The sequence below is a fragment of the Homo sapiens genome, chromosome 1 (assembly GCF_000001405.40).
Source record: "Homo sapiens chromosome 1, GRCh38.p14 Primary Assembly".
NCBI lineage: Eukaryota > Metazoa > Chordata > Mammalia > Primates > Hominidae > Homo > Homo sapiens.
In genome coordinates this window covers 18,932,424-18,960,243 of record NC_000001.11, presented here as the reverse complement: position 1 = coordinate 18,960,243, position 27,820 = coordinate 18,932,424, and the positions used below count along the sequence as shown (strand labels likewise).

Below are 27,820 nucleotides of genomic sequence, written 5' to 3'. Positions count from 1 at the left end.
GACAGGTTAGACACACCGCTGTGACTTTGAGGGTCAAGGGGAGGTACCCTGCCAAAAAACAAAAACCTAATTATCCTTGTTTAGTGAGAGGAGGCTGGCGTCCCCCACAGGGATGTTCCTTTGTCTGTTGGAACTCTTCCGCTGCCTTGAGGACCCACCTTTAGCCCCCTTTGGATCTTGAATGGGGGAGCCAGCCTGCCAGTGTCTGGGGTTAAGGGGAGGAGACCACTGAATTCATTGTCTGGGCCAGGGAGGACCTACCATTGGAAAGGGAATGGGACCAGAATTCCAGACCAGGCTTTGATACCAATTATTCAGGAGACCTGGGTCAGTCCTTACCTCTCTGTGGTCCTCAGTTTTCTGGTCCCTGAAACAAGAAATCTGGGCTGGCTGTATCCTGAACTATAGGACTTCTGGCCTCAGATGCCTCCAGATTGATATGGGCTGGAAGTAGGGTGACACATTTGTTCTGATTTGCTCGTTCTGATTTACTTTCCAGGTTTTAGCATCAAGAGAAACCTTCTCAGTTCCTGATAAATTGGGATGGTTGGTCACCCTAGCTGGAGGACTGTTAGGTTAACCTAACCTCACATTTTACCCACAAAGAGCAAGACACGCAGCACCCGCCTTTATTCCTATGTGGCCACGAAGCTATTTTCAAGCCATTTTGTTTGCACATATCATGTTTCTAGGGTTCAGCTGAAAACCCTCTCAGGTCCAGCTACCACTTCCCTCAATTCCTTCAGATCTTCTGGGCTCTGCTTGGCCATCTCCTTTTCCCCCCTCTGCACCCACTCCCATGCCTCAGGATGGTCTTTTTTGGTTGTCTCCATCAGCTCCCCTGGAGCCCCTTTAGCTCCTTCCTCTGCATTTAATGCAGGATTTGTGCCGAAGCAGGTGCTCCACAAGTCATCACGGAAAGTCTGAATATCTCCAGGGCCCAGGGCAGGGCTGCCCCCACCCTCAAGGAGGGCTGCACACCCCAATTCCAGGGCAACTTTGTTGGAAGGACAGATCCTTCCTGGAAGAGGTTGCAGGGAGCCACTCCCCAGGTGTGACTTCTTAACCCTTTCTCTTCCATGGGACCACTCAGGCATTGGGTGGAGCCTGTGGACCCCTTCTGAGAATAATTTTTTTAAAAAGGCATTAGGATTACTATGAAAAGTCATTTTACTAAAAATAGATATCAAACTATTAACAATTTCTCATATAGTAACATACGTTCTCTTTTACTAATACATTAAATAAGATTTAGTGGTCGGTCTAATATGACTTTAATTTCACAGTTCTCGTAGCTTAGATGATATCTTGAGATGTTTACAATAACTGTAGTGTGTTACATAAATACCTGTGATTTCTACTAGTGACAAAATCACAGGGACATCTACTTGCTGCCTACATTCATAATCAAAGGATATGTTAAAAACCATTGGCTGGGCACGGTGGCTTACGTCTGTAATCCCAGAACTTCGGGAGGTCAAGGTGGGCGGATCACCTGAGGTTGGGGGTTCAAGACCAGCCTGACCAACATAGAGAAACCCCCATCTCTACTAAGAATACAAAAAAATTAGCCGGGTGTGGTGGCGCATGCCTGTAATCCCAGCTACTTGGGAGGCTGAGGCAGGATAATCTCTTGAACCCCGGAGGTGGAGGTTGTGATGAGCCAAGATCGCACCATTGCACTCTAGCCTGGGCAACAAGAGTGAAACTCTGTTTCAAACAAACAAATAAACAAACAGACAACAAAGCCTTTAGAGATTAGTGAGGCTAAAGGTATAACTTTTGTCCACCCCTGTGTCATGGACCCCCCAGAATTCTATCCTCAGTCCTCTTGGGGGTCCATGAACCTCTGCTTCAAGGCAAAGGGGTTTTGATTCCTTAGGTTAGATAAACAAGAACATCATCAAGAGACGAGAGAACGAAGAGTAAAGGGCAGTGTCCAGACTGGGTTGGGTTAAGCAGAGAAAGGTTTCTAGATGAGTGAGTTTCAGAGCTGGGTGTTTAAGGTGAGTCCGTGTTGGCAGGAAGCAAGGAACTGTGGTTGAGGGAAGGAACTATGGGGAAGGTTTGCTTTTGTGGCTAAATCAAAAACACAGCAGACTAACATCACAGCCACATCACTCCAGGGCAAGCCCGTGTCTCCTTTGTCACCAAGAACACCAAGGCATTGTCCATGTAAGACAGTGTGCCTGTCCTCAAGCTTACATACAAAGAGACAAAACAAACACAAAAGTTAATAACAAGACAAAAATTAAACTGCTAGTAAAAAATGCAGTCGGAAGTATCTGAAACATGCCACATATCTGGTTAAGTGCATACAATGCAAGCCACAGGCGTTCAAAGGTGGGGGTTCAAGGTGGGGGTCACCTCCCCTCTGAGGTTTGCGGTGAGGACCAAATGCGGAAATGGACACGAGGCCCGAGGCCAGCATTGTGGAAGGCCGGTTAGAGCATGCACTTTGGACCATTGTGGCTACTTAACGTCTCAGTGACCTTCTCTGTAAAATGGGGATAATAAATAAGTATGGCGCCTGACATATACTAATGTTTGCAACACGGTTCAGGAGACACCAGAGACTGGAGAACTTGGCCTTTAACGTGGTAGGTGTGAAAACATTTGAATGAATGAATGAATGAATGAATGGGTCCTCGGGTTGCCTCGGTCTGCCCCAGGCGGCCCGCTAAGCCCCATGTCTGTGAAATGAATCCCCAGCTCTCGGGGTCAGCTTCATCTCAGCGTGTGGGTGTGGGTGGTGGGGAGGTGCTGAGCAGCTCAGCAGAGGCGAGGCCCAGGCCGAGTTTGTGGGTGTCATCCCGGGAGGGTCTTGCTCGGCCTCCCCAACCCCCATGCTGCTCGGCTCCTCAGTGGGCGGGGGAACCAGCGGGCTTAGCTGTGCCCGGGCCGATCTCGAGAGGACAAGGCCCGCAGCTAGCATTCGAGGAGCCCACCCCCGGGTCCGCAGCGTGGGGCACGGGCGCCCTCTTATCCCCGAAAGGTCGATCTGGGCCTCCCCAGGCTAGAGTGGGGGTGGGGTGCCGATGCACCTTCGGATACTGTGGTCCCCCAGCCCTTCCAGCCGCGGTCGCGCACATCCGAAGGAATTTGGGGCCAGGGGCATTGCGGGCAGAGAGGACAGAGAAACGGAGCCCTCTCGGCAGGCGACGTGGGAGAGGAGCGCCCTAAAAAGTGGAAAGCGAGCGTTGCCGAGGCTGCTGGCCCCTTTAAGAGGCCCGGCTGGCTCTGCGGCGGTTCCAGCTAACCCGGTCCCTGGTGCAGCTCTGCGGTCCGGGTCCCCCAGCAGAGAATCGGCACCCGGCGGGGAGGCAGGACCAGACGCAGGAGAGGGCGTGGCCCCGCCGGGGAGCTGGGCGGAGTCTATGCTGCGGAGAAAGCGGGAGAACCCGGAGGTGGGCGGAGCCGAGGGTCTGTGGGTGGGGCCCGGCGCTGCGGGCCTCGTGGGGCGGAGCCTCGGGCTCGGGGAACGCCGCAGAGGGAGGAGGGGTGGGCGGGGCCGCGGCGGGGGCGGGGCCAGTGTCTGCAGTGGGCGGGGCCCGCCGCAGAAGGGGCAGTGCCGGCCGAGAGTCCTCTGCGTGCGGCTGCCGCGGCCCCTCCACAGCGTCTCTGACAGCCCGGGCGGTGAGACCCGCGACCCTTCTGGCCCCGCGCAGATACCGCGGCCTCCACCGCGTCCCGAGGAGCGGCCGAGTGCCCTCTCTCGCCTCGGCGCCCGCATCCGGGGCCATCCGTCCTGCCGTCTCTGCGGAGGCCGCATCTGGCGCGCATCTGGAACCGCCCGGCCGGCCGCGCTGGAGCCCGCGCCCACCCTGGCCCGGCCGCGCCGGGAGCCCTGCCCGGAGCTGGAGCCGCACCTGGAGCCGCGGGCCCGGGGCCCTGAGCCGCGCAGCCGGCGCATGGTGAACTCGCTGCTGTTCGGGGAGATGGCCTTGGCCTTCGGCTGCCCGCCGGGCGGCGGCGGCGGGGGCTGCCCTGGCGGGGGCGGCGGCGGCGGCGGGGCAGGGCCGGGTCCGTCGCCGGTGACGGCGGCGCTGCGGGACGACCTGGGCTCCAACATCCACCTCTTGAAGGGGCTCAACGTGCGCTTCCGCTGCTTCCTGGCTAAGGTGCACGAGCTGGAGCGGCGCAACCGGCTGCTGGAGAAGCAGCTGGAGCAGCAGCAGAGCGAGCGCGAGCGGCGGCTGCGCTACAAGACCTTCTCCCGCGAGCAGGCCGTGCAGACCGGGCCCGAGTTGCTGCGGCCCCCGGCGCCCGGCGGCGGGCACGGCCTCAGCAGTGGCGCGGCGGCCGGCGCCAACGCCAATGCCGTGGCCCTGGGCGGCCTGCCCCCCGGCGGCGGCTCGCACCCGCAGCACTACGGCCGCCTGCCCGGGACCATCTGGAGCTACACGCAGGTGCGGCGCACGGGCGGCGGCGGCGTGGAGACCGTGCAGGGCCCCGGCGTGTCGTGGGTGCACCCCGACGGCGTGGGCGTGCAGATCGACACCATCACGCCGGAGATCCGCGCGCTCTACAACGTGCTGGCCAAGGTGAAGCGCGAGCGCGACGAGTATAAGCGGAGGTGAGTGGCCGCCCCTCCCCCGCCGCCCTGGGACGGGGCGCCCAGGTCCAGGCTGCCGCGGAATGCGTATGCGGGACGGGGGCCGGGCGGGCAGCTGGTACTGGCAGGTGGGCTGGAAGCTGTGTTTGCAGAGCGTCTTACGTACGCCAGGAAGGCCCAGTTATCTAGATCCCAGGATGGGGGCGGGCGCTGGCTACCGTGGGGGCCACCTCGATGCTGTCACTGGTGAGGCACATTGTTTTCTAGGTGACATAATAACTGTCTGTGTTTTATGCGATCTCATTTAATTCTCAGCACAATACAGCGTATTGTGTAAGGCAGTCTTATCCTCATCTCGCAGATGAGGAAACCGAGGTGCAGAAATGCTAAGTGATTTGCCTAAGGTGGCTTGGCGAGTAAGTGGTGAAACCGGGATTTCAACCAGAGATTTTAACCACTCCTGGCTAGTCTGTCTCCTAGCATAAGTATTTTTACCAAGGAAGTAGGAAATATGCTCCCCTCCCTCAACATATGAAAAGAAAAACTCTAACCAACCCACTGCCTTTTTATTTCTTGAATTAAATGAGATCACGTTTTTGAAAATGGATGGATCTGCCCCTACCCCCTGGGGCCAGTGTCTGCCGTCTTGCTCCAGCTCTGTAAGGTCCAGCTTGCTGGGTTGGATAACCACAACTACAACAGACTGCTCACAAGCTTTTATAAAATGCCTCCTTTCATCCCTCTTCTCCCCACTCCCTGAGTCTCATGGTTTATTGAGCCCTAACAAACTCAGCCTTAAAAGCCCCCAGGAGAAGATAATGTTGGGCTGGAGACTGGACATTGAATGGACTGAGACCACAATCTCTGGCTAGAACTGGGGTCCAGACTCTGCAAGACTGGCCAGTGCATTCCTGCCTAGCCCAGATTCCCCAGCTGGGAAACTGTCATTGCTTCCTGTCTGCAGTCTGGCCGACAATACTGTCTGCTTGGCTTTCCGATAAGAGGAGAGGGGTCTCCTATCCTCCTCCTCTTCCCATAAGAGAAGAAGGGTCTGTCTTTGGCATCTCAGGCCTGGCTGGGGAAGGGGCCCTCTGGCCCTGGCAATCGCTGTTCCAGGCACAGGCAGCCTTCCATTCGGAGCTATTGGCTCTGAACTCCAGGGCTTGGAGGATGTACTGAGAAGGACCCTTCCTTCCATCTCTAAAGGTCTGTCCAGGGAGCTGGGCATAGGTCTCCTTCCGTATTCTCCCATTGGACAGGCTAGCAACTGGGTAGGATTCAAATGCCAGCCTTATACCTGCTGGTGAGATTATCAAATCACTTGAAAGCCTGTTTGCTCATCAGAGAAATGGGAATAATAAAATCTGCCCACAGTTGCTCGAGGAGACAGCAGGATGGTGATGCTCTTTGGGAGGTATAAAGTAATCATGCTGGTGTTATTAAAGATGATAGGCACTTTGTCAAGCTAGCAGGGAGTAGAAATGCTGAGAGTCCTCAAGCTCTCTCATGTGGCGCCTAGCTTCCTGGGGGTAGGTCTTACACTCCACTGGGAGACGGGCTTCTCTCCTGGGTTACCTGTTTCTCTGGAGGACTTGAGAATGGCCCGCCTGGTGCCTTGCCACAGGGAGGCCACCTCGCCGCCCCTCATGGTCAATGTCATTGGGGCAGGCTAGGGAAGCAGGCACTTGCTCTCAATGGTGAAACTGGGGAGGGATGGGCCGGGCCCTCCTGTCTGCCACTGTTGATTGTGTTGTCATGCCTCAGGCTTGTGTTGTGTTTGTTTTATTGTGTGTGTGCTTTTTGGACCTGGCTACTAAGGTGATGGAAAAACCGTGCCCAGTCTTGGAGGGAGATGGGTTGGCATTGAGCAACGATCTATTCAAGTTGCACCCAGGGCGTGGGGTGTGATGTCAGCTTCTGGCGCTGGCCTGGAATGAGACGGTGCTGCTGAGACAGGTGGAGTGCGGGCGTCTCTCTTCCCGCCCTTCTGGGATGCGTGCACACCTTGTCTTCCATTTATTTTCTGAAGTTAACTCAAGACTCATGTTGGATTTTTCCAAAGCAGGTATATTCCTTTCCTGGGGCCTCAGTTTCCCCGTCTGTGAAGTGAGGTTGAGGGGGGGCTAGAATTGCGGTCCTTGAAACCCCAGGCTTTCTTAGAGATGCTTTAGGGTTTCCTTGAATATCTAATAAAAATGATCATTTAAAAGAACATTAAGACGTTAATACAGTGATAAAAATGTGCTCACCCACCTTTAAGTTCTTAATATTAACTCACTGGGTTCTACTAACATGCTAACTTGTTAGTAGTATGTTTTGGGTATCCCTAAGAATTTTCTTTGGGGAGGAGGGCAGACATTTGATAAACATTTTTTAAAAAGTTGAAAAACCACTGGGCTAGATGATCTCAAAGGGTCTTCCCAGCCTTGGCAATATATAAATCTGAGTTTGAGCTCCCAGCCCGCTTCTGATCCCCTGGCCATAAGAGAAGTCACCGTCTAAGGGATGAGACCCAGGTGTCTGCCTGGACTGTTGTGGCCATGAAGGGCTTTAAATCATCCCAGGATATCTATTACAGAACTCCAAGCAATGATGCCCAGAAGGAGCCTAACCCAGAAGGGAAAGGTTCCAGGGTTTCCCCTGGTCCACCTGGAGGAAGCTGCAGCTCCAGAGACCCCCACTTGCTTCCCCAAAGGACAACTTAGGCTGCGAGGCTCAGCGATCTTCAAGCCGGACGCTTGTTGAGTTCCACCTCCATGATTTCTGGCCACATCCATGTACTACCGCCTGTGCTATTACGTACATAAAATATTTTAACAACTTCATTGAGGTACAACTTGCATATCACAAAAACTGCCCATTTTAAGTGTACAAGTCAAGATGAGTAAATTCACAGAGTTGTGCAGTCATTACCACAATCCCGTTTTAGGGCATTGCATCAGCCCCCAAAAAGATCCTTCATGTCCATTTACAGAAAATTCCAATTCCAAGCCCAGCCCAGGTAATCACTGACCTGCTCTGTCTCTAGAAACTAGCCTTTTCCGGACATTTCATAGAAATAGAAACATACACTCTGCAGTCTTTTGTGTTTGGCTTTTTTCACTTAGAGAATTTTTTTTGAAGTTCATCCATGTTGTAGCATGTATTTGTAGGCTGTTCCTTTTTATAGCTAAAAATATTCCTCTGTAGTATAGACCATATTGTGTTTATGAATCCACCCAGGTATTCAATGTATTTTAAATTTAAAACGTCAACTGTATACCACCGAGCATCATCTCATGTGCCATCAGTGGTCCACAAACTGTGCTTTGGAAACACCAACCCAAACCAGAGCCCCTGGCCTGGGGTGCCTGGGTCCTGGCCCCAGTCACCACTGCTTTGGTTTTCCCTTGGCCCAACCAGGTCTTTACCACGTGGGAAATGTGGTCGCTGAAGCCGCAATGAGGACGAGGTTGTCAAGCGTTGATTTGGAAACCAAAACAAACATCTCTACTCTGTCACCACCCAGGGCCACTAAAATATCTTGTTCTGACTTTGCAAGCTGGGGGCTTTTCCCTGGAGTTTCCCACTGAGTTTATCTGAACTCAACAGTGGAGAGTTCCCTGAGTTGGCATCCAGGAGACCTGGACTTTAGGTCCAGCTCTGCCACTAGGTGCTGTGTGACCTCTGGCCAACCGCTGCCCTCTCTGGGCCTCAGCTCCTCCACCTTTACATGCAGGAGTTCCTGTGGGTGATCTCTCTCAGCTTGCTCTCTACTTTAGGTCAGTGACTCCAAGAGGCCCGTGTTGTGGCTGATCTTTCTGCCTCTGGAGACCACACTGTGTTCGCTGAAGCCTTTCTCTGTTCTGGGCTTCCCCTTCCCTCTCCTATCTCTGCCCCAGATAACTAGGGTCCAGGCTCCAGGCATAGGCAGCGCTGGCCATCCCATCCCCAGGCTTAACCGGTTCAACCGTTTCCCCTGTCTTCATTGGCTCCAAGGAAGGATGCAGGAAATCTTTAAGGCTGTCAAGAAAAAGGTCCCTCCAGCCTGGCAGCTGTCACAAAGTTGCCATGGACTGGTAGGGGAAGTTGCCCTGGGCTGGTAGAGGAAGTTGCCCGGCGCTAGTAGTGCTGGCCTAGCTGCCTATCAGACAGGGCGACTCTTTTGGGGGCCTGGTGTCCCTGTCCAGAAGCCTGTCCAGCCATCCTGGCCCCCTCAGGCCTAGTGTGATTTGCAGCTGGCTGGCCTGGTTCCCTCCCGTGCGAGTGGCTGACTGTATGCGCCCCCCAGTTGAAGTCAGCCTGGAGGCTAGGTTTCTTTTTTTCCTGGTGCCTGGGGTGATTGGAGGGTGGTTTGGGAGCCTGGAGAGACCACTGTGATCATTCAGCCTGGTGGCTTTCAGGTGGGCTTTTTAGAGCCCTGGAGTCCATAGCAGGGCGCCTTGGGAGACTCGGGGGACAGTGGGAGGCTGAGTACCTGAGATTTGACCCATGTTGCCCACCATAGCTCCATGCCTCTCTGACTCCCAGACTGTCCAAAAAGTATTCCATTTTAAAAAGGGTTCTGCTGTTTTAAAAAGAAAGAAACCGCTGATTCAGCTGAGTACTTTCATTTTAAAGGTGGGGAAACCAAGGCCCAGAGGGGGGCTGGCCCTCAGTGCTGAGCTGGACAGACCTTCCATCTGCCGTGCAGAGCTGGCCTCCCCGCCTCGACATGATGCCCGCATCATCCGCCAGCAGTCGAGGCTTTGTTATGTTCTTTCCACCTTTTTGTATGTCTGTTTTAAACATTTTTTTAAAAAGCCACTTTCTGGGATGGGAGGGACTTTTGTCACAGCTATTTCTGACTGTGAGCCGGAAGGGGCTGGGCTGTCGGCTGGAATGGAGGACTCCAAAAAGGGATGGTGGGTGGGTCAGCTGGAGTGTCCCCCGCCCATTCCCGTCACACCCCAGGGGGGCCCTCAAGCAGGTGGGTGCTGGCCCCTGAATGTCCCGAAGCCCGAAGGCTGCCCTGGAATAGAAAGCTGAGGGCTTTGTTCCCTGCCACTCCCATTGACACTTTCGTTATTTCTGAAGCTGGCACCGATACGGATTCTTTATTTCTGATTTTCCAGTGAGGCAGCCTTCGATGGTGGAAAAGGGTTTTGCATCCTGGCTCTGCCACTGTCTGTGTGAACATGGGCAAGTGGCTTGGCCTCTCTGAGCTGCCCGTGGAGCTCCCCGCTTCGTCCTCTGTAAAAGAGGGATCATCTTGTTGCTCTCCCAGGGATTGAGAAGGAACAAATGAGGTCTGGTGTTAAGGTACCTGGGGCTTGGCAGATTTTGGGCATACCTACCTCCACCCCAGCCCAGCCCCCTTCCCCTGGCAAAGTCTGTTCCTTTAATTTACAAGGATTTCTCAGCATGGCCCTGACTGCCTAACAAGTCCATTTCAGGGCATGTCGCCGCTCTCTCTGTCCCATGGAGGCGCCAGAGATGGTGTTGGGGGTGGAGGGAGAACGGCTGCTTCTTTGTCCGGCATCTAAGAAGGCTGTTTGACCTACTCTTAGCAGTTGATTTGTGCCTCCGGAAATCTCTCGCCATCCCCCAGCCCTTTCTCCCAACTTCCTTTAAGAGAAACACACAAACCCCTCCATCTAGCGCCTCGGGTCCCTTGAGAACTATATTACAGAATCCCTTGGCTGGGTTGGCATTCTCACTGGGGACAAATTTGGGAGCGATTCTCAGAGCCTCAAGCTAGAGGGAGGGGAATGAGGTCCCAGAAAAGAAAAGGAAGCAGGGAGACAGCTGACGCTGAAGATTCCTTCTCAGAGGAATGCGAGGCGGGGCTTTGCCTTGGCAAACGAGACCGGATGCGGGTCCCCGGGTCCCCCTTCCCCCCACGTGTATGCACACTCACACTCACACACATGTACGTGCACACACACACATTCACATACACATGCAGATGCACACACCAGACTCTCCGTTCAGTCCTGTGGCCCACGTCCCCACACATGACCGTGTTTGAAGGACACAGAAGGGTAGACCCGGAATTTGAACACGCCCTTTGCTGCAACGAGATGCGTTGCCTTCCAGGAGAATTGATTTAAACTGTGCCATGTGTCAGTGACACCGGAGGCTGTGGGCTTTGCATTTGCAGTCCTGGCTTTTGATCGCATTGAGAGGTGAAGGCCGGCTGGCATTCCATTTATTTCCTATGTCGCGGATGGCTGAAGGCCCGGGACGGGAAGGAGGCAGCCCTGTCATGTCCCTGTGCTCAGGATTAGGGATGTGTTGCTTTTTCCTGACTTTCTGCTGTCAGGCGGTCCTAAGCACCCACCACCTCCCGATCACAGCCCCCCACACCCGGAGTTGTAACTACCTGGCATGTGTCTGCCCCTGCATCGACTGGAAGCTCTGTGGGGGCCGGCTCCAACTCTGGCTTCGTCTCCCACTGGCAGATCCCAGCCAGGACCTGGCCAAGGTCCATGCTGAGTAAATACTCATGCAGCAGGGAGGCCTCTGTGTCTGGCTGCTGTGAGCTAGTAGGCCTCCAGGAGGATGGGACAGAAGACGGACAACACAGACCACGTCCAGGGATTCGGCTGTTTGTGGAGGGGAGGGCCTGCACTTGGAATCAGAAGGCCTGGGCCAAAGTTCAAAGTTTGAATGAACCCCCAAGCCTGGCAGTGCAGGGTGCTGGGGCCCCAGGGCAGGAGTTAAAAGCCGAGTGAGCTTGGGCTAGTCACTGCCTCTCGAGCCTCAGTTTCTTCATCTGTAAAACAGGGATGCTAAGCTCTGTGTCCGGAGGTTGTGGAAGAAGTAGACAGGCTCGCCTAGCTACAGCACAGGGCGTGTAAACAGTCAAGTTCAGAATGATTTCACAGGGCAGAGAGTGGGTGCCCTACAGAGGCAGATCTGTGCTGGCCCTGTGGGGTGGGCAGAGGTTGAGAACCAAGCTGGAAACTGGGAGAGGGTGTCCCGTGCCCTTTGCTGGCAGCATCTGTGAGTTGCACAGCCCTTTGAGCATTGCCAGACTGTGAGGTGTTTAGAAAATTCCAGGCCAGATGGGAGACTGCTGAAGGTTTGTGATGTTGCCGCCGCCTGCCCACGAGGGGAGTGTCCTCCCACCCACACTGGGCACCGGGTGCTTGGCTTCCTGAGCAGGATGTGGTTTCTCATTCTAGACCTGGTACAAGAGAGGGTAGTTTTCACCCAACAGTAAACCTGGCAAATGGCAATGCCTGGTTCTCTGGAGGGTCCGTGGAGCCCAGGTCCTGGTCTGGGTTTGCCTGCGATGTGGTCTGAGCTTCACTATGCCCACGTGGGAATGGGGACAGTGGGAAGGTGGGCTTGCCCAGCAACCCTATGAAGACTACGTTCTCTCCGTAATGTAGCACAACTCTGTGCATGCCATTTAATCTCTTGCACCTCAGTTTGTCGCTCTGTACAATGGGGGTGTGGTTTCTTACGAGTTCTGCTTCCCAGGGTTGAGGTAAAAGTCAATTAAAACAGTGCAGTAGGAAAACATTTTGCAAAAGGATTTGAAAATAAATCAATATGGCTTAATGCTTCCGTTTATTGAGCACCTACTTTGTGCTAGGTGCAGTGATGACTTCTTTAAATATGTGATAATTATGGGAGCAGTCCCAAGCAGTGGGAAGTGATTATGCTCATTTTACAAATGAGAGGTTCAGAGAGGTGAAGACTTCTGTCCCAGATCTCGCCACGAGTCCGTCTGGGTCTCTGGACCCCAAGGTCAGTGCTCCTCCCAGGAGGTGGCCTTGTCCCATGCCCCTGGAGGTTGCCAAAGGCTGGCTCAGGGTGAGGAGGCAGGCAGGAGGCACGGGGTCTCCCCAGCACCTGTCACAATATTGCCATGGCGGGTGGCAGAATAGGAGGCGGCTGCTGCGCTGGGAAGACTCCCTGCTGTCACTTTACAGAAATTATTTCTTGAGAAGCAAATGAATCACTGGCAGTAGCAGGCAGATGAGGCTCCCGGGCCACTGTAGCAGGCCTGTCCAGGCCCCTGCTCTTTGGAGAAGGTCTCAATGGGGGCTGGCAGGGCTGGCAGGGGAGGAGTTGGGGAACAGGGAACACATATTATGACCCGTCTGGTGATTTCCACGCGGTCTCATTTAAACCCGGTGGTGGCACTGCAGGATGGAAACCGAGGCTCAGAGAGGAGAAGTAACTTGGAAGTCAGGCTCCAGATCCAACCTTTATCCTGTGCTGTACCCAGAAAGGGCCATGCCCATTGCAAGCCGCTTTCCTGCTGTGAGCCTCAGTTTTCATTTCTGTGAAATGTTGCCTAGCAAAGCTGGGGCAGGCTGTGGATCTCAGGCTCTCAATTAATGCTCCATTTATCTTGCCCGGCCCCTGAGTGTCCTCAGGGCACAGCCAGCCCGAGGTTCTCATCCACGGATCACCAGCAGCAGAGGGCCTCGGGCATTCTGGTGGCTGTTTGGGAGCTCGCCTCCGCCCTGGGCTGGAGTATCCCTAGCTTTTGCTTTCAGTCAGTGCTGTGAACTTTGCCAGGGAACAGGGAAGTTGTTACAATCGTTTGGTGCCTCTTGTTGGGGAAGATGAGACTGCTGGGTGTGGATGTCTGAGAAGCCAAAGTGGTGGTGGTTTCAGAACAGTGGCTGAGTACCCACCGTGGGCCAGGCCCCTGCCCTCGAGAACTCAGAATCTGGGGACATAGACAAATGTGTCATGCCATGTGGCAGCATCATGTGACAACAGCATGTGCCCAGTACCTTCTCCAACAGTGCTTGCGGATAGTAGGAACACAATAAACATGTGTTAGTTAATGAATTTCATTAAATATTTATACAACATTTACTCTTTGCCAGGCTTCATTCAAAGTGGTTTGCAAACATTTAATTCATGGAAGCTGTAATAACCCTGTGAGTTGGGTGCTATCATTAGCCCATTTTAGAGATGCTAAAACTGAGCCACAGAGGCAGGGGAGGGAACTGGGCCAAGACACCTTGAAAGTGGCAAGCCCAGGCCCGGTGCGGTAGCTCATGCCTGTAATCCCAGCACTTTAGGAGGCCGAGGCGGGTAGATCATGAGGTCAGGAGTTCAAGACCAGCCTGGCCAAGATGGTGAAACCCTGTCTCTACAAAAAAAATACAAAAAAATTAGCCGGGCATGGTGGCAGGCACCTGTAATCCCAGCTACTCAGGAAGCTGAGGCAGGAGAATGGCTTGAACTTGGAGGGCGGAGGTTGCAGTGAACCGAGATCTCGCCACTGCACTCCAGCCTGGGCAACAGAGTGAGCCTCCATCTCAAAAAAAAAAAAAAAAAAAAAAAGAAAGTGGCAAGCCCAGATCTGACCGCAGGAAGTCAGGTTCCAGTTCCAACCTTAAACCTGTGTAGTACCAGAAAGGGCCGTGCCCATTGCAAGTAGCTTCCCTGCTTGAGCCTCAGTTTTCACTTCTATGAAATGGAAGTAATAAATCTGACCTCATGAGGCTGTTTGGAGGGCTGTCTAAAATGATACCCGTGGAGCACTTTGTAAACTGGCAAGCGGAGTGCCTGTGGGGACCAAATCCTTGGGAGCCCTGAGCTCTACCCACACTGCGGTTTCTTTTCCAACTTCCCATGCAGGCTGAAGCTCCTTGAAGCTCCATGCAATGCCTTGTCCTCTCTTGCCTTTACATTCACACCTCCCCTAGATCCTGGGACGGGAGGTTGGACAGAAACCTGCTATGTTAGACAGCTTAGAGCAGAACGTTTGTGTGGAACCCAAAAGCTGGGAAGAGAGGAACCTGCAGGGTTTATTTCTGCTGCCTGTCAGCTCTGAGACCTTGGGAGAGTCACTGTGCCTCTCTGAGCCTCCGTTTCTTATCTGGAAATGGGAATGGTCATGTTGCGTGGATGGCAAGTGCGATGATGGTGCTCCGATTCTGGCTGCTGTGGCAAAAATCACTAAATAAGGCTGGGGGTTCTGGGGAGAGGAGCTGGGCAGGAATCGAATGGCGTTTGGGCCTTGGCCCTGGCAGAAGCCCCTCCATGTGGCTGTGCTGGGGGTGGGGCCTGTCTCTGAGCTGTCTCTGAGATGCTTGCTCAGCGCCCTCTGGCCTGCGTGCTCCGACTCTGGGATGTGTGTTCACACAGACCCTGCTCATCTGCTGCTCGATGGAGAGAGGCCCCTGCAGCGGAGACAGCGCCTTCCGCCCTCTTAATTGGCTATCTTTATTACTTGAGTTATTTAAGACGGTTCTTGGCTCACTGCCGCCTGTTTGCTGTCTTGGGGGAGGGGAAGAGCTACTGGTCTAAGTAGATCTTGTGAAGTTCCCCAGCAGACAGGCTCCTCTCTGTATAGGGTCAGCCCATCTTCCCAGGGCCCGTTGGCACCCCCGTTTTGCTCCTGGCCCACTGTGGCAATAGGCAGAAGGCCATCTTGGGGGGTGGTAGTGGAAGATTTAGGGAAAGCTTGTTGCAAAGTCACGACCAGAGAGTCTCGGAGGTCTGGGTGGGACACTGGTGAGACCCTAGGGTGCCCAAAACCCAGGGATTCTGGAAGGTACCCAAGCCAGTTCAGGGCCAGTCAAGAAAGGTTTCCTGGAGGTGACATCACCTAGGTTGTATCTGGAAGGTTCAGTAAGAGTGGAAGAGAAGGAGAGAGGGTGTTCCAGATAGAGAGGACAGCGTGTACAAGGGCCTGGAGTTGAGCTGCTGTGCAGAACAGTGTGGAGCTGCTCCTGGTGCCCGGGCTTGAGCCTGGCACTGCCAGAACTTGGCCTGTCCTGTGCTTGCTTCTGCCCTGTCTTGTCCCCTCCTCCCTCCTCATGCTCTTCTTGGCTCTCATTTTCTGTCTTGCTCTCCTTTCCTCTCCCTCTTTCCTTTCTTTCTTGTTTTGATCTCTACTCTTTATGGCTGGCTGTCTCACTCCCATCCTGCTTGGGGCAGGGCTCTGAGGGACATCCTGTCCCCCATCCCTCAGCCAGATGCTGGGCCCTGGTGAGTGGCTCTTACTGCTGGGGCCTTGTGAGCCCATGAGTGTGCATGTATGTACGTGTGTGTGTGTATACACGCATGTGAGCACAGGTCTGGAGCCTCTGGATTTGGAGCCCTTAAGGTCATTGCCCTGCCTGTGGCGGGCCCTGCAGACCCCTTGTACTATGGGGCTGGGGGTAGGGTCTTGACATCATGGTGGGGGGCAAGGGAGGCTGCCTAGTGAGAGAGAAGCTGCTGGTTTGGAGCTCAATGCTGGCCACTGGAGACCCTCAGCCTCCCCATCCCCCATTATGGTCCAGGGCCTAGGATTAGACACAGGTCAGGAATTGGGGCTGGGGGGAGGCTTGGCTGCTCCCCTTACCTCTCCCCGCCCCGGCCCCCGATCGCCCTGGCTGTCCCTTCTCCCTCACACCTATGACTTCCTCTCATCCCCTGGATGCCCCAGAGGACTTGAGGTACCCTTCAAGCTCATCTCATCCATCCTCCTGCTTCCAGGCAAAATCATTCCCTGACATCCCAACCAAGTTAGCTATGCCTTCTGTCTTTCAAAGCGACCTTCAGCCATTCTGTAGTGGTTTCTATTTCTCTCTCACCCCTATTTGCATATTCACGACCATTTTATAGATGAGAAAACTGAGGCCCAGCGAAGGAGAGCAGCTACCTTGAGGTCACGCAACAGAGCAGGGGCCGGAACCCAGGTATTTTCACCCTGTCCCCTCCACAGGACTCCCCTTAAACCCTTGAGCTCAGGGCTCCCTCTGGGGGCTGCTGGCACTTTCAGGAGGGGTTTGGAAAACTCCCAGAGGACAGAGCACTTGGAGCAGAGAAGCAACTGCCAAAGGCATGACTCGGAGCCTGTACAGTGGGGTCCGCAGAGACAGGGCCCTGCTCCTTGACCAGACATCTGGGTCCCTGGCGCTGTGGATGAAGCTCCCTCCACCTACAAAAGAGACATCTGAGGTTGCCCGTGGGGTTTGTCTCCATGTCGCAAAAGGCACTTCTCCAGCCTCTGGCCTGGTTTTGAGGTCTTGGGATGCTGACACTGATCTGCCTTCCCGATCTGCCAGCCCTGTGCTTGGCTGCACCATTTCTCTGTGCCTCGTTTTCCTTTTGTATGGGATGGGATGGGATGATGATACCCACAGGGTGTTGGTGAGCCTGATTCAGGAAAGGCTGCCCTGTCTCCTTATCTCTGGGTTAAGCCCTGGAGCTGGAAGTCTTGAGAACTTTGCCTAGAATGTTGGAGTTGGGTGAACCGTAGAGGCTGATCTTTCATTCCCCATAAAGACCATGTTTCCAGGGCTCCTTGTCTGGGCATGTGGCCTGACAAATAGTACTTTGGGATTTGCACATGTTTTTATATGGAAAGACATTTTTTTTAAGACAGGGTCTTGCTCTGTTGCCCTGCCTGGAGTGCTGTTGAATAGTCACTGCTTGCTGCATCCTTCAACTCCTTAGGCACAAGCAATCCTCCTGCCTCAGCCTCCCGAGGAGCTAGGACTTCAGACACACACCACTACACCCAGCTAATTTTTTTTTAAAAAAAATAATTTTTGTTGAGATAGGGGTCTCGCTATGTTGCCGGGGCTGGTCTTGAACTCCTGGCCTCAAGTGATCCTCCTGCCTTGGCCTCCCAAAGTACTGGGCTTACAGATGTGAGCCACCATGGCTGGCTGAGTCTTAATATTACATTGCTGTTGGTTTCACACTTACCTTTAAATAAAATATTAGCATTTAAAACATCAGGACTTAAATTTGCCGGGTGTGGTGGCACGAGCCTGTAATCCCAGCTACTTGGGAGGCAGAGGCAGGAGAATGGCTTGAACCCGCAAGGTGGAGGTTGCAGTGAGCCAAGATCTTGCCACTGCACTCCAGCCTAGGCGACAGAATGAGACTCCATCTCAAAAAAAAAAAAAAAAGAAATAATATAAAATAAAACATCAGGACTTATCTGACTTGGAGACTGATGGCCTGAACTCAGCAAGCTACTGCTGGCAGAGCCAGAATTAACCTGATGCCAAGTTGAGGGACCTCCAACTTGTAGGTTATTCCTTTTCTGAGCCCTAAGACATAATTCAATTGTGGGGAATTAAAAAGAAATTGCTTCATTTGCTCTTGCTTCATGTTTCCTGTTGGCCCGTGATTTGGGCCTTCTCTTGGGTGGGAACTCTGGCTCTGAGGTGACACTGCTTGGAGTTGTGTTACTGCTCTGAGCCTCAGTTCTCTCATCTGTAAAATGGGGATGACAATCTTAGCTGATGAGGTTGCGAGGATTTGATGTTGCCTGCAGAGTGCTACGTGTGCTGCTGGCCCCTCAGCTGTTACCGCTCCCTCCCTCCTGCCCTGGCCTGGCTCCCACCAGCCCCCAGGCCCCAATTTGTACACATAAAAATGTGAACAAATGCCAAAGTACTATTTGTCAGGCCACATCCCCAGACAAGGAGCTCTGGAAACATAGTCTTTGTGGGGGAATGAAGGATCAGCCTCTATGGTTCACCCAACTCCAACATTCTAGGCAAAGTTCTCAAGCCTTCCAGCTCCAGGGCTTACCCCGGAGATAAGGAGACAGGGCAGCCTTTCCTGGGTCAGGCTCACCAACACCCTGTGGTTCTCATCATCCCATCCCATCTCATACAAAAGGAAAACGCGGCACAGTGAGAACTGCCTGCTCCCTCCCGCTTTGGCTGAAGACTGGCCTTTTGTGTTCTGAGCACTTCCTCTCCCCGGTAGAGCCGCCTGGGCAGCCAGGAGGAGGTCATGTCCCCTCTCTTCTCGAGCAGACTGTCAGCACAGGGTGACTGGGAAGGCAAGACCTGGCATTCAAGGCTGTGTCCAGTGCAGGGTGTCACCTGGAGCCTGTGGCTCCTAGGAGGGCCTGATGGAATGTGGACATGAATGGGGGAATCTTTCCCTGTCCCCGCCTCCCTGGGGATCATGGACTGTCTCAGCCTCCCCGTTGTGTGGATTTGGAAGCAGCCTCAGGGGGTCACATTGCTGGTCTGAGGTCTCACTATGAGGTAGGGCCAGGATCAGGATTCGAACCTGCCTCTTGCAGACTGTTACCCAAAGTACTCTCTGCCACACATGCAAGCTCATTCTGGCAGGCTGAGATAGGGGAATTGGAAGACAGGGGTTCAAGCCCTGCCCTGCACCCAGCAGCAGCAAGGCAGCCGTTCCTCCTTCTGGGCCCCTGTAGGCGATGGGTAGATGGTTTCTGTGTTTTCATAGACTGCCTTGCGAGGCCTTGTGGGTGAAGGGCCCAATCCCAGACCTTGGCAGAGGAGTGACGTTGAAGGCTGGCTTGGCATTGTTTTTCCAGAGTTGACGTCAGGGCAGCTGGTTTAGGGTTTCATCTGTGAGACAAAGGCTGCTTTGTAGCTTCTGCCCGGTTTAAGTCCAAGCACATCACCCCCCAAGGTGGGAAACGAGGTGGAAGGGATTGCAGGGCCCAAACAGAGAAGCCTTGGGAGGCTTGGCTTGCGCTCAGCCCCTCCAAGAAGGGAGCCAAGATCTCATAATTCTATCGCCATCTTGCTCACTTCCCGAGAGCACTCTGTATGCCCACTGCAGTGTTTGAAGCCGCACACATGTGTTCTCTGGAACATCGCACCACTCCAGCAAGGTGGCTGTGGGTATGTCCATTGTACAGATGAGAAAACTTTGAGTCGTGCCAGGTGAAATGACTTGTTCCTTGTCAAAGCTAGAGAGTGGCAGAGTGGGCATGTGACCTCAGGTCTCTTTGGCTTCCAAGATCACCACTGGGTTCCACCACTAGAGTCTCGTGTTGCACCCAGCTTTGGAAAGGGAATTCTAAAAGCCAAGATACCCTGGAATCAGACTGGAGCAGATAAACCTCATGGCTTTTGGGGGGGACTTGGAGCTTTCTCTTGTCAGGATTCAGAGTTGGGTCACTGCTTTGAGCACGTGTTGCGTATTTGTATCTGCATGTTTAGGTATTTGCACGTGTACGTACAAGTTAAAGAAGGGATTTGGATACTGGAGGGTCTGTATCACTGGCAAGTGATTCCAGGGAGGCCTTGTGGGCAGGTGTAAAGAGTCATCCCAGGGGACACCTAGGACCTTCTGCTCTTCTTTGCCAGGATTACCCTACTTGATCATTTATTCTTCCATCCGTCTGTCCGTCCGTCTGTCCATCCATCCATCCATCCATCCATCCATCCATCCATCCATCCATCCGTTTGTCCATCAGTCTGTCCATCCATCCATCCTTTTCTGGGCCACGGTGCTCAGTCCCTATGCTTGGGCTTTGGGGATGATGCTGCATGAACTGGGAGCTTGCAGAATCTGGGGAGCTTGCCAAGGAACTGTTAAATCAGGGCTGGAAGAGTCCTTAGAGATTGGTTAGATATTTTCTCTCCCTTTTGTCAGAGAGGGGCAGTGACTTGCCCAAAGTTGCACGGGGCGAGTGGCGGAGCTAGGGCTCAAAGTCAGGTCTGTAGGTCCCAGCCCCAAGTTTCTGCTTCTCTGCTGTGTCAACAGACAGCTCTCACTCCTGGCCGGCAGCTCCCTTACCTAGCTCTTCCTCCTCTGCTGTTTTCATGGGTTCTTGGCTTTTCGGGAGTTGCTGGCAGCCTCTGTTCTGAGAGACTTCTAGAGGTGTCTACTGAACCAGCATGCAGGCCCCAGACTGGGGCCAAGCTTGGCTATGCTCTGCCCTGAGATGACACCCTCCCGCATCTGGAACAGCAGGTTGGCTGAGCCCCTGAGGGGAGAGACTCCAAGGCCCTGTTTACTTTACCCTACTGGACACTGGCTTCTTTTCCTCCAAGGGTCTCCAGAGGTCATCTGTTTCTTCCTCATCTTGGGGCTAGGACCACTGCAAATCCTGCCTGAAGATCTTACTGCCTAGGAAGCACATTCCAGAACCCTTTCTGAGACGGGCCGTCCAGTGTCCTTGTGGCCTTTTCCATTGGGAAGTGCTTCCTGGTGTCTAACCATGATCCCTACTGCTTCATTTCCCCCTTTGTTTAGCCTTTCACAGAGGAGGAAAGTGGTTGGATATCAATTGCCTGGTGGTTCTCAAGGCAGCACCATTACCTTGCTGCGTACCCTCTTCCCACCTACAATCTCCCTTTTCTCCACTTCCTGAGAGACTGTGCCTTGACTCAGATACAAGTTGAGACACAATCTTCATGCAGAAAAGATCTGGCTGGTCCCTGTAGTATCCCACAAGTTTCTGGGAGGGAGGCACATTCCTTTTCTAGGAGTCAGGGAGCCCTCTGAGCTAGAAGTGGCCTGAATCCCAGGGATCACTCTGGTCCCATCTTTCCTGATGGGGAAACTGAGGCCCAGAGAGGTTGAGCAACATGTCCACAGCCATTCAGCCAGCCTGTCCGAGTTGGGTGTCCTCCTTCATGTGGCAATGCTGTTTCTATGGTTTGGGCAGGGGGCTTGATAAAGGTGGCCGGTGGCCTCTGGCCTGGTGGTCCCTGCCGCAGACAGATGTCCTGGAAGCAGAACAGCCAGCCCCATGTGGCCCCAGAGGGCTCCCTGGCCTGGAATCAGTGCTCCTGCCTGCTGGTTCCCTGGGTTGGCAGATTCCTGGCGGTCCTGGGCTGCCCTCAGGGCCAAGCAGTGGCATCTTCTCCGCTCCCACCCACCCTGTGGCTTCCTCTCTCCCACAGCCTCCCAGCCTCCCTTTTGGCCCTAGAGGTGCCAGGGAGGCCCCTCACCTCCAAGGGGAGAGGACAGGAGGCCTGAGTGTACACCAGTAATTAAGTTGCCAGGGGGACACTAGCTCCTGTGGCTGGGGCAAGAAGGGGTTAAGCAGTGTTGCCTGCCAGGGCTGGACTCCCAGCTGGTGTCCCGGCCCCTGGGGCCAACCAGGCCATCTGGCCTGACAGATACCACACTGTGTCCCATCTGTCCCAAGGCAAAATCACCAGGAGGAGACTGCCTACTGCCTTTGAGGGCCTGCAGGGGTGGGCGTGGCCCCTGCTGTCTGTCCCTGGGGGGGCCAGGCCAGTTGGGAGGGGCTCCCCACTGGGCAGGCTGTCCTCTGGCCACCCTCCCTGCAGGGTCTCCCTAGGTGTGAGGTGGGGGAGTCTCAGTCCCTGGTGTGGTCGGAGCTTCCTTGTGCAGAAGGTCTAGAGAGGTGCAGGGATGGGCTCAAGGCCACACAGTAAGTCAGCACAGGCAGAGCTGGGCTTCCCCCGAGGCCTGCTGGTGGTTACGCCCAGTGGCTCCAGCTCACAAGCTCATTCATCCAGTCAGTAGCGGTTGAGGGCCTACGGTGTGCTGGGCACTTGGTCACTCTGGATACCAGACAGTTCCCCAGTCCCAGCATGGGAGAGGGAACCCAGAGACAGAGCCTCTAAGGGGAAGCATGGTGCAGCTCAGCCAAGCCCGGGGCCCTGGACGCTGTAGCAGCCCTCCCAGTAGCCTCCCTCCCAGCCTTCCCAGCAGCTGGAGGTGGGGCTTGCTCACTAGGAGGAGCAAAATAATGTTAGGCACTGGTGTTTATGATCTTATGGGGTCTTCACCATCCAGGGAGGTGTAGGTACTATTGTTATTCCCATTTTACAGATGAGGAAACTGAGGCTCAGAGAGGTAAAGTCGCTTTAGCAGATCACCAGCTGCGGAGCGGCTGAGTTGGACGCCCATCCCAGCTCTGCCTGACGTCAAAGTGTTTTGGGATAAGGGACAGGGGGTGGCTGCAAGTGGCCTCCCACTTTGCCCCAAGCCGGCTTCTTCTCGCCATGCTGGCCTGGACCATCTCCTTTTTGGCTTTTTGCTGAGTCCGGGCTGGGAATCCTGTGGCTGGAGGCCCAAATCTCAGGGGGAAGAGAGCCCCCGCTGGGTTGGAGTTGAGAAGAGAGGCTGTGCTGGTGCCGGTTCTTTTGCATAGCTGGGGCTAGTGACCCTCTGCATCCCATGTGTGGGGTGCTCGGCAGCATCTGGGCAGCGCTTGAGGGATTCCCCTCGGAGGACCCTCCATCCATCTGAGAGCCCCAAGGCTCTGCCCTCCAGTGGCGGCTGGGCCAGGCCGTTGGGAGCCTCCATAATGCTGTTATGATTATGTGACCCTGGATGAGTCACTGCACCTTGGTGAGCCTCACTTTCCCCATCAGCAGAATGAGGGTGAGGAGATGACAAGCTCCAATAAAGATGCCCTCCGAGGGGCTTTGCAGTCATGGAAGGGTCCCTGGGAGGCTTTGCTCCATTTCATTCCCCGTCTCATCTTAAGGGGACTGACTTCTCTCTCCAGCCCCATGGGTAGTTGGGAGGAACACTCTTGTTTGTGTGTTGTGGGGTTGCCTGGTGCTCAGCCTCCACACTCCCCAGTGGTTCACATCAGGTGGAATGCCAGGGCCCGCCATGATGACAGGAGCCTGGGATTAAGTAATGAGTCCATCCCCTTGAGCTGTATTTAGTCACTAATTCTTTTGGTGCGCGTGTTTGCAGTCTAATTACCTGCCTCAGCTGCGCTGGAACCTGCCCCTTCCCAGCTAGTGAGGACCATGACGGCTCTGCACAGACAGGTGACCGTTGCCCTGTTACCCATCCTTGGTTGCACAAGCCCCACGTGTCTTTTGTTAGCTGGGTCCTTGTCACTCTTCCCTCCTCCCTCCTGGAGATTGCTCTGGAATGTTCTCCTCCCCTTACCAGCGGCATGGCAGGCAGCTCCTAGTCTCTGGAGTTGCACTGAGCCAGCCGCTGCCTGTGTGGGACCTTGGACATATCACCTCCCACCTCTGAGCTTCAGACTTCTCATTTATGAATGACCTGGACTTCCCCGTCTGATGTCCTAGGATCCTGTGTTCTGTGCTTTTTTTTTTTTTTTGCCCCACCTGCAGCCAGTTTGTGTTTGCACATCCTCATTGAATCCAGGTGGGGTCATTCTCACCCATTTTACAGGTGAGGAGACTGAGCCCTAGAGAAGTGACTTGGCTTAAGGCCGCAGAGCCTTGCTTTCAACCCAGGTGTGCTGACTCTTGCCTGGTGGGCTCTGCCTGGCTGCCAGCCCCTCATTTTTTCAGGCTGCACATGATAAGGAAAATCTGGGCTCCCAGGCAGCTGGCTCCAGGGCGGCTGCGGGTGAGTAAGTATGCGGGAGATTACCCTGAGGTGCCCTACATTTACCTCCAGGGCAGCACAGTCACTTGGAATAAACAGTGGAGAGACCCAAAGTACATATTAGGTTTCCAAAATAGCCTTGGGAGTTGCTGTTTTTCTCAAAGCTGTAAACATAACCCTGGGCCTGGGGGCCCCCACACTCTCCTGGGCACAGACCCCCTGGGCCTCCTGCCTCTTGACCTGAGTGCCCAAAGACCTGCTGCCCAGACCCCCTGCTGGCTTCCACTTAAGCAAGAGCCAGCAGACACGGGATGGGGATGGGGTGGAGGGTCCATGGGGGCTTGGCCAGGCCTAGGCAGAAAGACAATGTCCCAGGGATGGAGAGCCGTGGACACCAACTTTCCCATCATCTGCTCCATGCAAGGTAGGCCCAGGCTTCAAGGTGCAGAGAAGAGAGTAGCAGAGTTGGCCTGGACTGTGGAGGTTGTTTGGGGAAACTGAGGCTGGCAGGGAGGGGCTGGCAGGGTGGCCATATCTAAGGCGACAGGGCTGCATTGGCCTAGATTGGATCTCCTAGAGAAGGCCCTGGAGATGACACTTACTGGGCCTTTTTAATCCAGTGAATATTTATGGGGCCTCCTATGTGCCAGGCTCTGTGCTGGGCACTGGAGTTGCAGCTGTGACCCATAGATGGGCCTGATCTTGAAAGAGATGAGGGCCGGGCGCAGTGGCTCACACCTGTAATGCCAGCACTTTGGGAGTCTGAGGCGAGAGGATCGCTTCAGCCCAGGAGTTTGAGACCAATCTGGGCAACATAGTGAGACCTTGTCTCTACAAAAAAAAAAAAAAAAAAAAAAATAGAAAAATTAGCCAGGTGTGGTGGCATGCACCTATAATCCCAGCTACTTGGGAGGCTAAGGCAGGAGGATCCCTTGAGCCTAGGAGGTCGAGAGAGCTGTTGTTGCACCCCTGTGCTCCAGCCTGGGCACACAGCGAGATCTTATCTCAAAAAAAAAAAAAAAGACAGAAGGAGAGAGAGAAAAGAAAGATGAGTTAAGCAGAGGAGACCAGCAGGGGATCAGTAACCTCAATACCAAGTGGCCCAGAGCCTTTGTAGTACAGAATAGTGGCACTTGACCCTGACCAAGGAGTCGGGTCAGCCTCCTGGAGGGGGTTATAAGCTGGGTCCTGAAGTCACATTAGGTAAGGGAGAGAGAGAGGAAAAGGACAAAGGGGAAGGGGTGTAGAACCTGTTGGGCAGAGAATGCAGCCCATGCCTTGGAGGTGTGATGGAGCTTGGCACAGGGGGGCTGGAGGTGTTGGGGGGATGCTATTCAGCCTTACTCTACCCTAGCACGTGGCCTTGTTCTCCAGGGCTTATCACCCACCAGGTGAGACCTCTGTCTACCCTTTTGGAGAAGAAGTGTCTGGCCCATTTCTCAGATGAGCCTGATCTCCCAACCCTTGCTCCTTGGGGAAGGTAGAGGGCCACTGGTGAGGAAGAACAGTATTTATAGCGGAGTCTTCCTGCACCCAACGGAGGCAATCTTTTGACTAATGAGGAAACTAAGGCACAAAACATTGTTGCTGCAGGAACTGGAGTAAGGGCCCAGGACCCTGCTTTTCCTTGGCTCCCTGGGCAACTGGGAGCCTGTGGTAGAGAATGCCAGAGAGCGTTCTCTCTAACACGTCACACATGGCTCTTTAGAGGGGCACAAAAGCCTTTTCTACATCTGCACACTTGATCCAGAAACCCAATCTGGGTATCCCAGAGGGATACCTGGACACATATGCAAATGTGAGGGTACAAAGGTGTTCACAGTCTTGTTTAGATTGCAAGGACTCTGCGCTGACAGTGGAGGACCCATCAAACCAGTGGCCCTGCAGCCACCTGCTGTGTCACCTGCTCGGGAGGATGCTGCCGTATATTGTTAGGTGGAAAAAATGCATTTGAAAACCACATATGGTCGCATCCCGTTGTCGTTAAAAACCAATCTCATAAGAAGAGAAAATCTCATAAGAAAAAGTTGGGAAGGATATAGAGCCGATGTTAACCGTAATTCTCTCAGGGAGGGGGATTCATTTGGGTGGGTTTTACATTGGTTTTATCTGGCTTACCTGTTTTTTTCTTTTTCTATTTCTTGTGTAATCATTGTAAACACTCATGCAATTTAAAGCAAGGGGAAAACGAGCAGGTATTTTTGTCTTTTAAAAATTTAAGTGGTTTTGATGTTTTGAGCAGGTATACATGACATCATTCAAAATTAAAAAGATACAGAAGGAGGGGAAATTCTGACACACACTACAACATGGATGAACCTTGAGGATATTATGCTAAATGAAATCAGCCAGGCTGGGCGCGGTGGCTCACACCTGTCATCTCAATACTTTGGGAGGCCAAGGTGGGAGAATTGCTTGAGCCCGGGAGTTCGAGACCTGCTGGACAGCATGGTGAAACCCCGTCTCTACAAAAAATAATTTTTAAAAATTAACTGGGCATGGTGGCTCATGCCTATAGTCCCAGCTGCTCCAGAGGCTGAGGCAGGGGGATTGCTTGAGCCCAGGAGGTGGAGGTGCAGTGAGTTGTGTGATTGTACCACTGCACTCCAGCCTGGGCAACAGAGTGAGACGCTGTCTCAAAAAAAAAAAAAAAAAAAAAAAAAAAGAAATAAGAGAAATAAGCTATTCACAGAAGGACAGATACTATCTGATTCTATTTATACAAAGTACCCAGAAGTCGAATCCACAGAGACAGAAAGTAGAAGGGTGGTTGCCAGGGGCTGCGGGGAGAGGGGTACGGGGTACTACTGCTTAACAGGCACAGTTGCAGTTTTGCAAGATGAAAGAGTTCTGGAGATGGATGGAGGTGATGGTTGCACAGCAGTGTGAATGCACTTAATGCCACTTTAAAAATGGTTAAGATGGTAAATTCTATGTTATATGGTTTATTTATTTATTTATTTTTGAGACAGGGTCTTGCTCTGTCACCCAGGCTGGAGTGCAGTGGCGCGATCTTGGCTCACTGCAGCCTTGAGGTCCTGGGCTCAAGCAATCCTCCCACCTCAGCCTCCTGAGTATCTGGGACTATAAGCGGTGCCACCACACCTGGCTAAATTTTTTGTAGAGATGGGGTTTCGCCATGTTGCCCAGGCTGGTCTGGAACTCCTGGGCTCAAGTGATCCACCTGCCCAAAGTGCTGGGATTACAGGCGTGAGCCAACGTGCCTGGCCTGTTATGTGTATTAAGAAAAGATACAGAGGGGACAGAGTGACAGTTCTACCCCATAATCCCCAGCCACCCACGTCGCTGCTGAAGGGAACCAATGTTTTCAGTGTGATGGTGGATGCTTGGTTTCCTTTCTCGTGCCCCTGGGTACAAATGGGCAGTGGCAACTTGGATGGGGCCCCTTCACTCATGGACGGAGGAAGATGCCCCCTGTCCCAGGGTGAGCATTCCCTTCCATCCCTGCTTGCCTGGCACAAGGCAGCCAGTGCCCAGAACTTCCCACACTTCTTGGGTTGAAGGGATTGAGGATCTGAGGCTGGAGGAGCCAGAGGTCCTGCCCCAGCGAGAGCTCCGGAACTCGCCTCCCCTCTCTCAGCAGGAAGAGAATACTCTTAATCCACTTCTGTGTCCCCAGCACTTGGCTCCTGGGTGAGCACTTGGGAAATGTTTGTTGATTCTGTCCTGGGGGAAGAAGATGAAATGTAAGCCGGCAGCCAGCCTGAGTTGGGCTGTGGGAGATATTCTGGGCTGCCGGGCCTGGGTGTCTCCAGAAACACCCAACGCTCGCTCATGAAGGCTCTCTTGGTGCCAGGTCTTGTGCCAGGCACTGGGATATGGTGCCGAATTGGATACAAGGGAGATGGGACGTCCTCCTGTGTGTCTTGACTGTCGGTGTGTTGCCGAGCATTGGTAGCAGAGGGGGCTGGTTTGGCACCCAGGTACCCTGCCTCATCCCCGGGGCCTTGGCCAGTCTACACAGAGGAACTGCCCTCCAGCTGAGTTACCCATTTTCCATGGCAGGGAGGACAGCAGAAAGGCCGTGTTCCATGACTAATCATAGCTTCCATCTATTGAGCATTTACTGGGAGCTGGGCACTGTGCTAAGTGTGAAACGTGTGTTGACTCATTTACTACAACAACCTGGCAAGGCAGGTTCTTCCGTTAGCCCCTGCTCAAAGCTAGGGGACCTGGAGCACAGGCGGTCAAGTGCTTGGCTCAAGGCACACAGCTCAGAAGTGCAGATCCTCTGCCCCTCCTGGCATCCCAGTCTGGGGGGGTCAGGGGTGGGATCTC

General features: G+C 53.8%; 1 protein-coding gene across 3 annotated transcripts in view, besides 19 other annotated features; it reads left to right on the top strand.

Annotated features, from left to right (window-relative positions):
• Positions 3,386-3,555: a silencer, noted in NCBI's record as "silent region_349". NCBI's record gives its function as "represses an Ori minimal core promoter by ATAC-STARR-seq in GM12878 lymphoblastoid cells {active_cell/tissue: GM12878}" and the evidence as "EXISTENCE:reporter gene assay evidence [ECO:0000049][PMID:35858748]".
• IFFO2 (intermediate filament family orphan 2) overlaps positions 3,568-27,820 on the top strand; it is a 52,397-nt gene continuing 28,144 nt past the window's right edge. For all 3 annotated transcript variants that reach the window (XM_047444839.1, XM_011540630.3, NM_001136265.2), the window contains exon 1: positions 3,568-4,576. In XM_047444839.1, the coding sequence (XP_047300795.1) occupies positions 3,912-4,576 (665 nt within the window). In that variant the 5' untranslated portion in view covers positions 3,568-3,911. The remainder of the gene's footprint in view (positions 4,577-27,820) is intronic.
• Positions 4,126-4,385: a silencer, noted in NCBI's record as "silent region_348". NCBI's record gives its function as "represses an Ori minimal core promoter by ATAC-STARR-seq in GM12878 lymphoblastoid cells {active_cell/tissue: GM12878}" and the evidence as "EXISTENCE:reporter gene assay evidence [ECO:0000049][PMID:35858748]".
• Positions 4,626-4,815: a silencer, noted in NCBI's record as "silent region_347". NCBI's record gives its function as "represses an Ori minimal core promoter by ATAC-STARR-seq in GM12878 lymphoblastoid cells {active_cell/tissue: GM12878}" and the evidence as "EXISTENCE:reporter gene assay evidence [ECO:0000049][PMID:35858748]".
• Positions 7,863-8,192: an enhancer, noted in NCBI's record as "active region_292". NCBI's record gives its function as "activates an Ori minimal core promoter by ATAC-STARR-seq in GM12878 lymphoblastoid cells {active_cell/tissue: GM12878}" and the evidence as "EXISTENCE:reporter gene assay evidence [ECO:0000049][PMID:35858748]".
• Positions 8,213-8,262: an enhancer, noted in NCBI's record as "active region_291". NCBI's record gives its function as "activates an Ori minimal core promoter by ATAC-STARR-seq in GM12878 lymphoblastoid cells {active_cell/tissue: GM12878}" and the evidence as "EXISTENCE:reporter gene assay evidence [ECO:0000049][PMID:35858748]".
• Positions 8,463-8,602: an enhancer, noted in NCBI's record as "active region_290". NCBI's record gives its function as "activates an Ori minimal core promoter by ATAC-STARR-seq in GM12878 lymphoblastoid cells {active_cell/tissue: GM12878}" and the evidence as "EXISTENCE:reporter gene assay evidence [ECO:0000049][PMID:35858748]".
• Positions 8,633-8,762: an enhancer, noted in NCBI's record as "active region_289". NCBI's record gives its function as "activates an Ori minimal core promoter by ATAC-STARR-seq in GM12878 lymphoblastoid cells {active_cell/tissue: GM12878}" and the evidence as "EXISTENCE:reporter gene assay evidence [ECO:0000049][PMID:35858748]".
• Positions 9,144-10,063: an enhancer, noted in NCBI's record as "H3K27ac-H3K4me1 hESC enhancer chr1:19276675-19277594 (GRCh37/hg19 assembly coordinates)". NCBI's record gives its function as "activates a minimal SCP1, AML or CMV promoter by ChIP-STARR-seq in naive H9 embryonic stem cells {active_cell/tissue: H9 hESC(naive)}" and the evidence as "EXISTENCE:reporter gene assay evidence [ECO:0000049][PMID:30033119]".
• Positions 9,893-10,022: an enhancer, noted in NCBI's record as "active region_288". NCBI's record gives its function as "activates an Ori minimal core promoter by ATAC-STARR-seq in GM12878 lymphoblastoid cells {active_cell/tissue: GM12878}" and the evidence as "EXISTENCE:reporter gene assay evidence [ECO:0000049][PMID:35858748]".
• Positions 16,041-16,090: an enhancer, noted in NCBI's record as "active region_287". NCBI's record gives its function as "activates an Ori minimal core promoter by ATAC-STARR-seq in GM12878 lymphoblastoid cells {active_cell/tissue: GM12878}" and the evidence as "EXISTENCE:reporter gene assay evidence [ECO:0000049][PMID:35858748]".
• Positions 17,844-18,361: an enhancer, noted in NCBI's record as "H3K27ac-H3K4me1 hESC enhancer chr1:19268377-19268894 (GRCh37/hg19 assembly coordinates)". NCBI's record gives its function as "activates a minimal SCP1, AML or CMV promoter by ChIP-STARR-seq in primed H9 embryonic stem cells {active_cell/tissue: H9 hESC(primed)}" and the evidence as "EXISTENCE:reporter gene assay evidence [ECO:0000049][PMID:30033119]".
• Positions 18,655-18,949: an enhancer, noted in NCBI's record as "tiled region #6542; HepG2 Activating DNase unmatched - State 5:Enh". NCBI's record gives its function as "activates a minimal TATA promoter and a strong SV40 promoter by Sharpr-MPRA in HepG2 cells {active_cell/tissue: HepG2}" and the evidence as "EXISTENCE:reporter gene assay evidence [ECO:0000049][PMID:27701403]".
• Positions 18,655-18,969: a biological region, named in NCBI's record as "Sharpr-MPRA regulatory regions 2400 and 6542".
• Positions 18,675-18,969: an enhancer, noted in NCBI's record as "tiled region #2400; HepG2 Activating DNase matched - State 5:Enh". NCBI's record gives its function as "activates a minimal TATA promoter and a strong SV40 promoter by Sharpr-MPRA in HepG2 cells {active_cell/tissue: HepG2}" and the evidence as "EXISTENCE:reporter gene assay evidence [ECO:0000049][PMID:27701403]".
• Positions 18,675-18,969: a silencer, noted in NCBI's record as "tiled region #2400; K562 Repressive non-DNase unmatched - State 20:ReprD". NCBI's record gives its function as "represses a minimal TATA promoter and a strong SV40 promoter by Sharpr-MPRA in K562 cells {active_cell/tissue: K562}" and the evidence as "EXISTENCE:reporter gene assay evidence [ECO:0000049][PMID:27701403]".
• Positions 23,240-23,785: an enhancer, noted in NCBI's record as "H3K4me1 hESC enhancer chr1:19262953-19263498 (GRCh37/hg19 assembly coordinates)". NCBI's record gives its function as "activates a minimal SCP1, AML or CMV promoter by ChIP-STARR-seq in primed H9 embryonic stem cells {active_cell/tissue: H9 hESC(primed)}" and the evidence as "EXISTENCE:reporter gene assay evidence [ECO:0000049][PMID:30033119]".
• Positions 23,786-24,330: an enhancer, noted in NCBI's record as "H3K4me1 hESC enhancer chr1:19262408-19262952 (GRCh37/hg19 assembly coordinates)". NCBI's record gives its function as "activates a minimal SCP1, AML or CMV promoter by ChIP-STARR-seq in naive H9 embryonic stem cells {active_cell/tissue: H9 hESC(naive)}" and the evidence as "EXISTENCE:reporter gene assay evidence [ECO:0000049][PMID:30033119]".
• Positions 24,331-24,876: an enhancer, noted in NCBI's record as "NANOG-H3K4me1 hESC enhancer chr1:19261862-19262407 (GRCh37/hg19 assembly coordinates)". NCBI's record gives its function as "activates a minimal SCP1, AML or CMV promoter by ChIP-STARR-seq in primed H9 embryonic stem cells {active_cell/tissue: H9 hESC(primed)}" and the evidence as "EXISTENCE:reporter gene assay evidence [ECO:0000049][PMID:30033119]".
• Positions 26,528-27,515: an enhancer, noted in NCBI's record as "H3K4me1 hESC enhancer chr1:19259223-19260210 (GRCh37/hg19 assembly coordinates)". NCBI's record gives its function as "activates a minimal SCP1, AML or CMV promoter by ChIP-STARR-seq in naive H9 embryonic stem cells {active_cell/tissue: H9 hESC(naive)}" and the evidence as "EXISTENCE:reporter gene assay evidence [ECO:0000049][PMID:30033119]".